The sequence below is a fragment of the Homo sapiens genome, chromosome 2 (assembly GCF_000001405.40).
Source record: "Homo sapiens chromosome 2, GRCh38.p14 Primary Assembly".
Taxonomy (NCBI): Eukaryota; Metazoa; Chordata; class Mammalia; order Primates; family Hominidae; genus Homo; species Homo sapiens.
This window is the reverse complement of record NC_000002.12, coordinates 227665897-227681084: the sequence shown is the minus strand read 5'-3', so window position 1 is coordinate 227681084 and position 15188 is coordinate 227665897. Positions and strand designations below refer to the sequence as shown.

Here is a 15188-nt window from a genome sequence, read left to right as displayed (position 1 = left end):
TGTGAAGATGCCTTGCTTCCCCTTTGCTTTCCACCATGATTGTAAGTTTCCTGAGGCAACCCCAGCCATGCTGAGCTGTGAGTCAATTAAACCTCTTTCCTTGGTAAATTACCCACTCTCAAGTATTTCTTCATAGCAGTGTGAGAACAGACTAATACAGGTTGGTTTTTAAATGGAGATATATTTTGAACCTAAGGAAAAAAGTTAATTTTCAATTATTTCCTTCTTGATATGGCCTTTTTTGGTTGCTATGCTTCTTTTCTAAAATTAAAACAATGATTATCTGAATAGGAAACTATTCCAATTAAGAGACGTGGCCAGGCATGGTGGCTCACGCCTGTAACATCAACACTTTGGGAGGCCGAGGCGTGAGGATCGCCTGAGGTCAGGAGTTTGAGAACAGCCTGACCAACATGGAGAAACCCCGTCTCTACTAAAAATACAAAATTAGCCAGGCGTGGTGGTGTGTGCCTATAATCCCAGCTACTTGGGAGGCTGAGGCAGGAGAATCACTTGATCCCGGGAGCTGGAACTTGTGGTGAGCCATGCCATTGCACTCCAGCCTGGGCAACAGAGTGAGACTCCATCTCAAAAACAAAAAGCAAAAGAAAACAAACAAACATAAAAGAGACATAATCCTATGGCTGGGCGCAGTGGCTCACGCCTATAATCCCAGCACTTTGGGAGGCCGAGGCAGGCAAATCACAAGGTTAGGAGTTCAAGAACAGCCTGACCAATGTAGTGAAACCCCATCTCTACTAAAAATACAAAAATTAGCCAGGTGTGGTGGCACGCACCTGTAGTCCCAGCTACTTGGGAGGCTGAGGCAGGAGAATAGCTTGAACCTGGGAGGAGGAGGTTGCAGTGAGCCGAGACCATACCATTACACTCCAGCCTGGGTGACAGAGTGAGACTACATCTCAAAAAAAAAAAAAAAAGAGACATAATCCTGTGGTCCACCTATATTCACTTTAACTGTAATGCTCTAGAAGAAACTTTTACCATGTCTGTATCTTTTTTTTTTTTTTTAAATTGAGTCTCACTTTGTTGCCTAGGCTGGAGTGCAGTAGTGTGATCTCGGCTCACTGCAACCTACTCCTCCCAGGTTCATGCAATTCTCCTGCCTCAGCTTCTTGATTAGCCAGGAATTCAGATGTGTGCCACCATACCCTGCTAATTTTTTGTATTTTTAATAGAGATGGGCTTTCACCATGTTGGCCAGACTGGTCTCAAACTACTGACTTCAAGTGATCTGCCCACCTCGGCCTCCCAAAGTGCTGGGATTATAGGCGTCAGCCACCGCGCCCAGCCTACCATGTCTGTATCTATTATCTTATTCTCCACTGGTAGTTTGACCAGCCTTAAAACACATTTTAAAGAACATGTATATCTGACTACCTGTTTTCAATTTATTAACAGCTACACACTATGTGTCCATTTTATTGGCAAGAATGGAAAGTCTCCTTCAGGGTTTAACACTTAAGATACCTCATGCCTACTACCTTCTTTCCCTTCCTAGCAAAATTCTGTGGACTCTAGTTTATCATTTTCATTCCACCCTAGGAGACTGTCACAGATGCACTATGGAAAACATTATCTTGGAGTGATGATTTATTAGTGATACCTCTGTTTCACTTGTGGGTCAACAAAACTTAGTCTTGACCTATAAGCTGTTTCAAAATAATCATTAATTTTTTTAATTTTTTTTTCCTTTTTTATTATTATTATACTTTAAGTTTTAGGGTACATGTGCACAATGTGAAGGTTAGTTACATATGTATACATGGGCCATGCTGGCGTGTTGCACCCATTAACTCATCATTTAGCATTAGGTATATCTCCTAATGCTATCCCTCCCCCCTACCCCCACCCCACAACAGTCCCCAGAGTGTGATGTTCCCCTTCCTGTGTCCATGTGTTCTCATTGTTCAATTCCCATCTATGAGTGAGAACATGCGGTGTTTGGTTTTTTGTCCTTGCGATAGTTTACTGAGAATGATGATTTCCAATTTCACCCATGTCCCTACAAAGGACGTGAACTCATCATTTTTTATGGCTGCATAGTATTCCATGGTGTATATGTGCCATATTTTCTTAATCCAGTCTATCATTGTTGGACATTTGGGTTGGTTCCGAGTCTTTGCTATTGTGACTAGTGCCGCAATAAACATATGTGTGCATGTGTCTTTATAGCAGCATGATTTATAGTCCTTTGGGTATATACCCAGTAATGGGATGGCTGGGTCAAATGGTATTTCTAGTTCTAGATCCCTGAGGAATCACCACACTGACTTCCACAATGGTTGAACTAGTTTACAGTCCCACAAAAAGTGTAAAAGTGTTCCTGTTTCTCCACATCCTCTCCAGCACCTGTTGTTTCCTGACTTTTTAATGATTGCCATTCTAACTGGTGAGAGATGGTATCTCATTGTGGTTTTGATTTGCATTTCTCTGATGGCCAGTGATGATGAGCATTTTTTCATGTGTCTTTTGGCTGCATAAATGTCTTCTTTTGAGAAGTGTCTGTTCATATCCTTTGCCCACTTTTTGATGGGGTTGTTTGTTTATTTCTTGTAAATCTGTTTGAGTTCATTGTAGATTCTGGATATTAGCCCTTTGTCAGATGAGTAGGTTGCAAAAATTTTCTCCCATTTTGTGGGTTGCCTGTTCACTCTGATGGTAGTTTCTTTTGCTGTGCAGAAGCTCTTTAGTTTAATTAGATCCCATTTGTCAATTTTAATTTTTTTCATGAAGGAAAAGATACACGAAGATTTGCCGAACAGATTAGTACTACGCAGAATAATCCTAAAACCATGATCTAAACTAGGAAAGTGTTTGCAGTGGTCATTCCAGTTTTATAAAATACACTCAGTCTAGTTTTTAACAAGGATATTCCATTGGCCAATCTGCTTACCTGCTTTTGGCTTTGTTTCAGAAATGGATCACTGCCAAAATTTGTTGAGCCTATCTGGGGTTGTTCCTACAGTAATCATCTGTGTATATAGATTTTTATGTGACCTCAAAGAAGAATACATGCTTAAGTTTACACTCACAGACATTTATGATTCTTGGATAATAAATAACAAAGATTCACATTATTTTATTCATCTTAACCAGGATTCATTTCAAGGAAGCTTAGTCTCACCTGTTTGCTTTTCCACACACACAAAACTAGTGGAGGATGATTGGGATTCAAAATGTTCAAATGCCTTATATATACAGTACCTCAAATTGTAAATTCTGACCAGATGATCCTATTGCCCTTGACTTAAAATTAAAGACTTACAAAGTAAAGGAATACTTGAACAAATATTTCCCAAAGGGAGTATTTATTCTTCTTTGAGGTCATCTCACCATTTTTTTTTAAAGCAATACTAGAAGGTACATCATCTGCTCCCAGGATTTGTCCCAATATATCTGCAGGTCATGGAAATACAAGTAGGAGAAGATAAGAGGCTGCAGCAGTTCACTTGCTTTGGGATAGAAATGTCACTTAAATCAGAAATTTACCCTTTCTTTTCCCAAGATCCATTTTCTTCCCCACGATCACCTTCCCTCATTTAAATGATCCACCAGTTGTCCTTGTTAAAATCAAAATGAGAAAACATCTTGGTTTACTTGATTTGTCTGTCCTAAATGAAGACTTGAACCACTGGGCTAGTTTTATATTCTCCAAGTAAAGCCAAGAAGACAGTGCATGGAGAATGACATTGATTGGAAGCCTAAATACCACTACTCTTGGTGGCTAGACTAAAGGCAAAATGGGGGAGGAATGCAGTTTGCCTCAGAAATAGAAATGTAGATACAGTTACATCTCAGACAGCTCTAGGGTGAGAAGGGTCAAGTCAAAACAAAAGAGAAGCTCTACGTCCATGTATGCACATTATTTAGCTTCTTATAAGTGAGAACATGCACTATTTGTCTTTCTGTATCTAAGGTATTTCGTTTAAGATAATGGCTTCCAGTTCCATCCATGTTGTTGCAAAAGACATGATTTTATTCTTTTTTATGCCTGAATTGCATTTCATGAAGGGTGGGGGTCCTGGGAGGGGTGGATGATGAGAAATTACTTAAGGTGTATAATGTATATTATTCTTGTGATGGATACACTAAAAGCCTTGACTTCACCACTGGACTTTATATTCATGTAACAAAATTACATTGTGCCCCATAAATTTACACACACACACACACACACACACACGGGAAAAAGAAGCACAGCCCAAATTCCGCCCAGGAGATCCTCTGCAGCCTCAATTCAACTACCCTTTTTTAAAATTTTATATTAATAAATAGAGATGGGGGTCTCCCTGTGTTGCCCCGACTGATCTTGAACTCCTGGGCTCAAGTGATCCTCCTACCTAGGCCTTCCAAAGTGCTGGGATTACAGGCGTGAGCCACTGTGCCCAGCCAATTCGCCCACTCTTAAAGGAAGACATTGGTAGATTATTGCCAGTAGCTCCTTCACTGCTCTGCCTTCTCTGTGGCTCTACATGTGGCTTCTATTCCCCCAAGTTCAGACAGAAGAAAAGGAGAAGCAATTTGGGGTGGACATCTGCACCTTCCTCTATGCCTTCTTCTGCCAATTGTCCTTCTGTTTTCTAGAAATTGAGATTCCGAGAACCAAAGCTCTTCTGAGTTTCTTAGGCAATCCATGTTAAATTGTGACCAGAATTGACCGAAACCAGAACAGTATTATGTGGGGGAAAAGAGGTTATGGTCCCTTTGTATCTACCCAGCATATTATAATTCAAGTTTTATGGAATCATAAGGCATCATTGTATAATTCTCACATATATAACAAGGCAAGAGAAGCTATTGAAGTGTAAGGTGTTTTTACTTTACCTTGTCAAAGTAAACATTCTTTAAGTCAGTTTCACAAAATGGCTGTGGATCTGTGCGCATTCAGAGGTCACTGTCAAGAACACTTTTTTTTTTTGAGATGGAGTCTTGCTCTGTCACCCAGGCTGGAGTGCAGTGGCATGATCTCAGGTCACTGCAACCTCCACCTCCCGGGTTCAAGTGATTCTCCTGCCTCAGCCTCCTGAGTAGCTGGAATTACAAGCATGTGCCACCATGCCCAGCTAATTTTTGATTTTTAGTAGAGATGGGGTTTGACCACGTTGGCCAAGCTGGTCTTGAACTCCTGACCTCAGGTGATCCATCTGCCTTGGCCTCCCAAAGTGCTGGGATTACAGGCTTGAGCCACCATGCCCAGCCAAGAATACTTCTTATTAAGAAAGGCATGATTAGAAAGCAGGGAACCCAACAATTCTACTTTTGTTATATCCTTTATCAAGGGAGCATGTGATTAAACCTTAATCGGACAGACTAATTCTCAATCATATTCTATTCCTTACAAAGTGTGTAAGTTGTATAATACTCTTTGAGGCTGCATTTCATCAGTGTAAAATTAAGAGATACCACCGATTCTATATATCCTGCTTATGTTTTATGTTTGTTTGTTTGTTTGAGACAGGGTCTCACTCCCATCACCCAGGCTGGAGTACAGTGGCATACTCTCTGCTCACTGCAGCCTCTGCCTCTGGGGCTCAAGCAATTCTCCCACCTCAGCCTCTCAGGTGGCTGGGACTACGGGCATACGCTACCATGCCTGGCTAATTTTTGTGTTTTGTTTTGTTTTGTTTTGTAGTGACGAGGTTTCTCCATGTTGCCCAGGCTGGTCTCAAACTCCTGGGCTCAAGCAATCCAACTGCCTTCAGCCTCCTATAGTGCTGAGCTTACAGGCATGAGCCACTGTGGCGGGCCTCAGAACATATTACTTTTTAACAAACACCATTTGATTATGGAGATGACAGCAGAGAAAAAGAAGAATACAGAGAAAGAAAATGAAAAGGTTGAATTGATAGTGGCAATGTGGTCTTAGCCAGCATCGGGACCTGGAGAAACTGCAGAAGGAAGTTCTAAAGAATGGTGGCCAGGTGCGGTGGCTCATGCCTGTAATCCCAGCACTTTGGGAGGCCGAAGCGGGCGGACCACCTGAGGTCAGGAGTTTGAGACAAGCCTGGCCAACATGGCGAAATCCTGTCTCCACTAAAACTGCAAAAATTAGCCGGGCATGGTGGTGGGCACCTGTAATACCAGATGCTTCTGAGGCTGAGGCAGGAGAATCACTTGAACCCGGGAGGCGGAGGTGGCAGTGACCCGAGATCCCACCATTGCACTCCAGCCTGGGCGACAGAGCGAGACTCAGTCTCAAAACAAACAAACAAAAACAAGAACGGATGTGAGGGTCTCCAATTTTCATCATAGTTTCCTCATTGGGGAGCTTTCTTCCTGCCCGTTGTATCCTTCCTCTCATCTGAGGAGTTAAAATAGGCATGAGGTTGATAGGACCTTGGTCACACTCTTGCCTTTTCCTCCTGAGGCAGCTTGTGACCCTTCTCACATTTCCTTCGGAGGCCAGAGGGAAGCACATGATAGGAGTCAGAGGTTGATCCAACTATCTGCATTTATTTTCTGATTGTTCTGTTTTTGAAGACATTTTCTAAGAAACTGGAATGTTCTACACTCGTGTTTGTTGACATTTTGCAAGAAAACCTTGGGCTTATTTTCTCATTGCCTCCAACTTGTGAAATTCCAGTCTAGCTCTGGAATCTGGCTTTACTCCGGGATTTTTTGTTGTTGTTGTTCCTACATGCAAGTTTGAAATAGGAGGTAAATATTTATTTTTTATTCCTTTCTAAATTTATTATTTTTTATTCTTTAAGTGTATTTCATGTCATTCTCAATTTATTTTATTTTTTAACTTTTTTGAGACAGGGTCTCACTGTGTTGCGCAGGTTGGTCTCGAACTCCTGGCCGCAAACAGTCCTCCCACCTCAGCCTTCCAAAGTGCTGGGATTACAGGTATGAGCCACTGCACCCAGCCTTTTTTTTTATGTACGATTTTAACTATTTTATTATATTTTTATTAATTTATGTTTTTAGAGACAAGGTCTCAGTCTGTTGCCCAGGCTAGAGTGCAGTGGTGTGGTCACGACTCACTGCAGCTCTAATCTGGGCTCAAGTGATCCTCCTGCCTCAGCTTCCCAAGTCTCTGGAACTACAGTGTGTGCCACCACACCCATTGTATTAGTTTGTTCTCACACTGTTATAAAGACATACCTGAGACTGGGCAATTTATAAAGAAAAGAGGTTTAACTGGCTCACGATTCTGCAGCCTGTACAGGAAGCATGGCTGGGGAGGCCTCAGGAAACTTAGAATAGTGGTGGAAGGAGAAGTCAAAAGGGGCACGACTTACATGGTGGGAGAAGGAGGAAGAGAGCGAAGGGGGAAGTGCTACACACTTTTCAACAACCAGATCTCATGAGAACTCACTCACTACCATGAGAAAAGTCTGCCCCCATGATTCAATCATCTCCCACCCGGCCCCTTCTCCAACACTGGGGATTACAATTCGACATGAGATTTGGGTGGGGACACACAGCCAAACCATATCACTCAGGTAGTTTATTTCATTTTATTTTATTATTTATTTATTTATTTATTTATTTATTTATTGAGACAGAGTCTCACTGTGTCACCCAGGGTGGAGTGCAGTGGCACAGTCTCGGCTCACTGCAGCCTCCACCTCTCAGGTTCAAGTGGTTCTTGTGCCTCAGCCTCCCAAGTAGCTGGGATTACAGGCACACGCCACCATAGCGGTCTAATTTTTCTATTTTTAGTAGAGACGGGATTTCACCATGTTGGCCAGGTCGATCTTGAACTCCTGACCTCAAGTGATCTGTCCACCTCAGCCTCCCAAAGTGCTGGGATTACAGACATGAGCCACCGCGCCCAGCCTTATTTTTATTTTTGGAAACAGAGTCTTGTTATTGCCCACGTTGGTCTTGAACTCCTGGCCTCACATCATCTCTCACCTCTGTCTCCCAAAGCACTGGGATTATAGATGTAAGCCACAGTGCCCAGAAAATCAGTTTTTATTTTAAACACAAATACATTCTCATCACATTAAAAAAATAGCCCTAATTATAGAAAATGTCTTTATTAAATCAATTTAGAGAATAGATATGTAGATATGTGGTTCTAGCACTTCCAGTAAATTAAAACAGACCTACAAGGAATTGGGCTGAGGACCAATAAGCAAAGTAAGGTGTGACTGCTGTATCATAGACTCAGGCTTCCTCAGGAACCTAGGCCATTGAGGACCTGGCTACGTGTTCTCTGCCAGTCTGTGTCCTTCTGCTGGAGCTTGAAGTGCGCAGATCAAGAAGTGAGGGCAGAAAAATGGATATAAGGGGAGGAGAGGAAGAACTAGCTGGGGCTCACCGTTATGAGCTGGGGCCCAGGAGGACAGACAGCCCCCCTTGTCAGTTCTTGTTGCCCCTGACCTTGGTGGCATGGGTGTCCTGCAGGAAAAGGAACCCTTTGTTATGGAGCTAACCAGGTATGTAGCTAACCAAAAGGTCACAGAAGCCAAAGGAAGATCCAGGAGAAGACAGAACCATTGCAGGCCTTGGCTGCTGCCTCACGCCAATGAATTAAGGAAAAGGAGAAGAAAACAATAAGTAAAGGAAAAGGTTATTAACATCTGGTAGAGCTGAATCAAGTTGCTTTTCTTTCTTTTCTTTTCTTTTTTTCTTTTTTTTTTTCTGTCAGACTTGTCTCTGACACAAGGTTGCTTTTCATCAAATCAAAATTCAAGCAAAAAAAATCTGTATTTTGTTGTAGTATGGGTATTGACAACAATGGATAAAGCCATTTCACACTTTGGCTACCAAGATATAGATATGGTTATTCCTTCCTTTCAGGGGACACGGCTATATCTTCACAGTGGGCCATGTGAAAGTCCACAGGGATCTTCTGGGGGAGTGGGCTTTGGGAATCTTACCAGCTGCTACCCTCAGAAGTGGCCAAGCTTCGTTAGTTATTTAATATTCATTCAGGTTACAGTTACATATGCATCATTGTCCATTTAGTTATAGCCCCTAATTATACAGTATTATTTTATCTTAGTAATTTCAGTTCCAAGAACAGCATTTTATAAGATATTTATGGTATTGTATTAAATACCACATGCTAGATAACATAATGCCGTCTGAATATAAGAATAGGAAACTTATACTGATGCTTATGATCAGTAAGCAGTGATACTGTCTCCAGTTTTGATATATCTTTCCTGTTTACTGTCACACCCAGTTTTTCTCGTCTGCTTTAGTAATTCCTGCGCAACTATTTCTTTGAAAAACAAATTGCAACATGTTCTCAGGGACGTCAAAAAAAAAAAAAACTAAATGCAAAGATTACAAGAAATGCTAAATTCCATGAAAGTTTACAAAGTCTAAAAGAACACTTGTACCCACAAAGAGAAGATAAAGTCAAGTCTGAGTTAGGTAAGTGAGCTGAAGAATTAAGGGGCCCTTAGGCCACTTGGAAAGCACATTAAAGCAATGAAGTGCCACTTTTCTGTTAGATCATGTGTTCTTAGATTAATGATCAAGCTGACTAGTAATAAAGCAACAAATCTGGAAAAGTATCCTCAGTCTGACACTACAGGACCCAATCATATAGTCATGATCTGGTGCCTTTGGTTAGACTGGGGATACTTGAAGATGAAAAATTTAAAAAAGAGAATTTAAAAAAACACTGCTATTCTTCAGGCATCAAATTCTCTTTCACCCTTGAGGGCCTTGGGAGAACAATGATCTCTTCTTTTGTAAATTTTCCTATTGTGAAAGATAGAAAAAACAACATAAGAATTGAGACATTTGTGATTATGTAAATGACTACAGCCTTATGATTGCTGACTATGGTATAAATGTGGTAAGTATTTTTTTTTAAACGGACTGACTCATGTTCATTAAGTATTTTTGTGAGATTTTTGGATGCCTGTCTAGGTAAGAAAACTGTGGGATGAAAGTTAAACTTTGAAGTGTTGTCATTTTGTAGTAAGTCATATTCACAAATATTAAAAATCATGATTCTTGTCTTCATTTGAATGCTCTCAAGGGAAGTCTTGTGTCTCTCTGTATTGTTCATGTTAAAAACTCTAGAGTTTCTTAGAGGACCACAAGACCAAATGAAAGATGCTCTTATGATGACTGTGATTCAAATCAGTCTTTCTCCAATTTCTAAAATGTAGCAAACATGAATATCAGATAAACCTGCAGCCACCCTAGGTTTTGGTTCTCCCAGATGTAATGACACAGAACACAGACCTTGGTATGGGAGGTCAAATCCTACACCTGCCACATACTAATTGTGCGAATCTCAACAAGCACTTTAACTTCTGTGATCTTCCTTTCCTCAACTATAAAAATGAAAACCAATAATAATTTTCCCTGAACTAGATTGATTTGAGAATTGAATCCTTTAAAGAAGCAAAAGCTTTTTGCTTAAGCTTGAAAATTCCGAAAGCTTTAAAAATAACTATAATTATATACCTACATCCCTTGGATAACAACATGGATTATTGCAAAACTGTTGATTCCTTCCTCATCAATCTATGAGCTTTTCTATAATTTCGAAGTCTAAAGATGCTGTTTCCCTGTAATGAAATGATCCTAGAGCATATGCATGTGTAAGGTGAACAGGCTAACCACTGCACTACAGAAACCTAAACAAAAAGCTTATGTGGACACAGAGGAAAAATAGATGGATAATTTGGAAAAAAAAAAAAAAAGAAATGAGAAAGGACTTTCTGCAAATAGACATTAAAGCCTATTACAGAGCTAAAATAATGAAGACAGTGTGCTCCGGCACAAAAAATACATAGAAAGATCAACATAACATTACTGTTAATAGAACACCTGAAACTAATCTACTATAACTAATTCAAATGCCTAAGGAAATTTGGAATAAGCAAAAATATTACTGGGTGTCTCCAGCAGGGAACCACGCATTGTTTATGGTACATCCTTCTGGGTTTTCTGATGTTAGCCTTCTACTGCCTTTGAGCTATTTTATAACTCTGTAATAGAGAACTGAAAACAATGCAGAGAACTAATGGGAATACCAAGAAATGATAATAATGCAATTGATTCTTGTCTGCGGACATGCAAATGAATTCTGTTTTGTGGAGGGACAATCAATGACATGATTGGCTGAAATTAAGAACCATGCTTGGTAAAACTTCCAACCACCAGAATGGAATCTTCTCTTAATTTACTATCTATTGCTTTCCTAGAATCTTCACTATACATTAAGCTAATGTGAAAAATACTCTGTTTATGTGTAGAGTGGAGTTACTTATAGGTTCCAATAATTATACACAGGGACTTCATTTATTTGAATGCCAAAGAGACTTTTGAAAATCATATGTGTCACAAAACAAGACTTTGTTGTGGGGATATCCTGTCTACGGCAGGATCTACTATCCCTGCACCTGCCCACTAGACACCAGTAGTGTACTTCTGATTGTGACAACCAAAAACTATTTCTACAAATTCCCAAGCACCCCACGGGGGCAGTACCACCTCCTGGAAAGCCAATAGTTTATTTTATTTTATTTTATTTTATTTTATTTTATTTTATTTTATTTTATTTTATTTTATTTTTTGAGACAGAGTCTCACTCTGTTGCCCAGGCTGGAGTGCAGTGGCACGATCTTGGCTCACTGCAACCTCAGCTTCCTGGGTTCAAGTGCTTCTTGTGCCTCAGCCTCCCAAGTAACTGGGATTACAGGTGCACACCACCACACCTGGCTAATATTTGTATTTTAGTAGAGATTGGGTCTCACCATGTTGCCCAGGATGGTCTCAAACTCCTGACTGCAGGTGATCCTCCTGCCTTGGCCTCCCAAAGTGCTGGGATTACAGGTATGAGCCACTGCACCCGGCCGAGAGCCACTAGTTTAAATAAAGAGGTATTGATTCCAAAGTTTCCATGTATATTTATACTAGTAAAGCATAGGGTCCTACAAAAATTGGCTAATGGGGCTCAAAATTCTTAACAGTGACACTGAACATGTCATTCATATTAATTACTTGCCCTTGGAGGTCATGTAAGTGCTCTTGGTTTCTGTGTTCATATTTGTTAACCAACTATACAACATAACAAAGGTTACTTTGTGGTTAGTATAATAATAGGCACAAATGCTTTGGTCAACTCACTTGGTATTCAAAGTCAATGTTAGTAAAAGATTGAGTACTCAACCTTAGTCACTCCCAGTGAAAGGTGCCTCATATCGCATCTTTGCTTAATTTACTAAATAAACTGATTGTAGTTCCTTTCCTCTTTGGAATACACCAGTAGAGGGAAACATGCCTTTGAAAAAGCACCAAAAATATTCTTTGTTCTATTGGCTACAAGTTTTTAGTCCTTTGCAGTTTTTTCACTCTTAATAGAGTTTGAAGATGCTGGGCACTGTGGCTCAAGCTTGTAATCACAGCATTTTGGGAGGCCAAGGCAGGAGGATCACTTGAGCCCAGGAATACAAGACTAGCCTCGGCAACATAGTAAGGCCTTGAGTCTACAAAAAATCAGAAGAAATTAGCCGAGCCTGGTGGTGTACACCTGTAGTCCCAGCTATTTGGGAGGCTGAGGAGGGAGGATCACCTGAGCCCACAAGTTCAAGCCTTCAGTGAGCCGCGATGATGACACTGTACTCCAGCCTGGGTGACAGAGTGAGACCCGGTCTTAAAAATAAATAAATAAAAGAAAAGAAAAATACAGTTAGAAATAAAAAATAAGGTAGAAAAAATATGAGAATGTAGGTTTGCTTTGTAAGAGATAGTAGTTTTGTGGCTCATAGGAATACCCCATGGAGAAACATTTTAAGGGCTTTAGTTTGTACACAGAACAACTCTGAGACAACAACCACAAAAACAAGAGTTCACAGACAAATAACAGAAATAAGGGAATAGAAAAGGCAAGAGAATAACCATCCTTAGAAAAAAACGATAGGCCATTTTTCTAGCTTGTTTAGACCTGCCTTTTGTTTACAGTTCGACATGGACTTATGTGAAATATTTAGATTTGTTTTGAGGAAGTTGCATCTGGAGAGGTGCATGGTTCCTTTTTGACAAGTAAGCTGGGTCTTGGGGTCTTTAGAAGAACAGGGGTACGTGGCAGCAGGTGTGGAAATACCTGAGGGAAGTGCCGATCTCAAGAGATGGAGAAAGGGCAGGTGGCAGGGAGGCCAGGTCCCCAGAGGCCTGGTAGTGGCCTCCCCAGCAGCCCCGTGCTGGCATTGCGGTCCGGTCATGGTGCATCTGTCGCTCAACTTGTTCAAGGAGATAGAAATCTCACTCTCTCTTTTTTTCGTTTTTCTTTTGAGACGGAGTCTCACTCTTTTTGCTCAGGCTGGAGTGCAGTGGTGCTATCTCGACTCACTGCAACCTCTGCCTCCCGGGTTCAATCAATTCTCCTGCCTCAGCCTCCCAATTAGCTGGAACTACAGGCGCGCACTACCACATCTGGCTAATTTTTGTATTTGTAGTAGAGACGGGGTTTCACCATGTTGGCCAGGCTGATCTTGAACTCTTGACCTCAAGTGATCCACCCGCCTCGGCCTCCCAAAGTGCTGGGATTACAGGTGTGAGCCAACGTAAGAAATCTCTTACGTTCCCTCTGTTGACGTGGCAGAATAAATACAGAAGCACTCAGGGTTGTTGACATTGTTTTATTAGGGAAATAAGCAGTAGCTATGTGGTGACTGGAAACAAAACTCATAGAAAAGGTGGGAAATGGTGCCCATGCAGGTGCAGAGAAGTAGAAACACAAAGGTGGAGGCCATCTGAACACCCAGGAAACAGAACGCTTGGGATCATGACCCTCTTGGCTGGGCTCAGCAAGGCGGACTGATCTTTAGGGATGAGTCTGGGGTTGTATTTTGGTAATGGCCATTTCCTATTTGGATTTTTTTTTAATAAAAAGATTTTAAACCACTAGGTTCAAAGAGGGGGTTATAGAGTCCAAAGGAGCAAGTCCCTGGACACCCAGGTGATACCAGATGGGGAGGTCTGGGAGAGAAGCAGGCAGGGGCATGGGGGAAAGTCTCATTACCTGGAGAAAGCAGGACCCCGCACCTCAGTCCAGAAGCAGAGCCAGGCCGGCCGCCTAGCAGCAGCATTGCTTCTGGCAGCAGCCTTTCTGCTGGCAACAGCCCTTCCCACAGCCGCAGCCACATGAGCAGCAGGTGCGGCGGCAGCAGCAGATCACAGGTGTGCTGCAGCAGCCCCCACAGCAGCCGCGGCAGCAGGGGCAGCAGCTGGAGCAGCAGCCCACCCGGTAGCACCTGCAGGTGGTGCAGCTGCCACAGCCACCACCACAGCCGCCACCGCAGCCACCACAACCTCCACAACCACAGCAACCCATGGTGTCAGTAGAGAGGACTCGAGGGAAGTGAGGAGGGAGGACTCAGGATACTGAGGCCCAAAGGGTAGAAGGGTGTTTGCTCAATATCACAGTCATTTCATGGCTTGCACAAATAAGTTAAACCTTTTCCCGTGAAGTATGTCCTATCCCATTTTCTTTCCTCTTTCCACTCTCTCCTCTTCTGGAATCTTAACATTTTTCCCAGGTGTGGAGGTCTGATGCCTTCTCCTGCTGGGGGAGGCCCTTATGTACCATCCTGAGGATGGTGATGGAGTGACCCAGGGCACATGACAAATAGCTACTTCTTTGTTACTATTTATTCCAGTATGCGTAAAGGAATCTAGAGTTCTTTCTCATCTATATCCACTCTGGAAACATTTGGCTTTAAAAAAGAGTTACAGTTTAGAAGAAATTTTTCTAAAATTTTAAAGCTCCTGTTTACATATGAAGAACCAGGCTTCAAAGATTAAAAAAGAAAAAACTCAGAAGGTGTGATATACAAGAAACGGGGATATGAATGCCTTCTGACTCAGTAGGATATGGGGACAAGAAGAGAAAGAAAAATAGAGGTAGAAGAAATATGTGGATGTGTATCTTATCCTCTTCCTGGGATGGCCTGCTCAACTTCAGAGAGTGACCCACAAGGCTCCCCCTGATCCCATGTGGAATGGAAGAGACCCAGAACATTTCCTTGCACAATGGAACAGAGAGGACAGCCGAGGAAGCTGGCTGATGAGGTGCCAAGGTGTCACCATGGCAGGAGTGAAATGATCAAGGAACCAAGGGCCTCAGGGCAGCCAGGCAGGACCATGATCAGTGGAGAATGCAGCCCATCTTCCAGGCTATTGGCAGCACCAGAGAGAACCAGATGGAGACTGTGTTCTCAAGGAAGGACCACAAGGTCTTG

The 15188-nt window shown here is 41.9% G+C and overlaps 1 protein-coding gene across 1 annotated transcript, besides 2 other annotated features; it reads right to left on the bottom strand.

The window, feature by feature from the left end:
- Window positions 13632-14132: an enhancer, noted in NCBI's record as "H3K4me1 hESC enhancer chr2:228531669-228532169 (GRCh37/hg19 assembly coordinates)". NCBI's record gives its function as "activates a minimal SCP1, AML or CMV promoter by ChIP-STARR-seq in naive H9 embryonic stem cells {active_cell/tissue: H9 hESC(naive)}" and the evidence as "EXISTENCE:reporter gene assay evidence [ECO:0000049][PMID:30033119]".
- On the bottom strand, window positions 14024-14281 carry SCYGR5 (small cysteine and glycine repeat containing 5). The gene has a single exon (NM_001395406.1). It carries the CDS (start codon window positions 14279-14281, stop codon window positions 14024-14026), a length of 258 nt encoding a protein of 85 aa, NP_001382335.1.
- Window positions 14133-14633: an enhancer, noted in NCBI's record as "H3K4me1 hESC enhancer chr2:228531168-228531668 (GRCh37/hg19 assembly coordinates)". NCBI's record gives its function as "activates a minimal SCP1, AML or CMV promoter by ChIP-STARR-seq in naive H9 embryonic stem cells {active_cell/tissue: H9 hESC(naive)}" and the evidence as "EXISTENCE:reporter gene assay evidence [ECO:0000049][PMID:30033119]".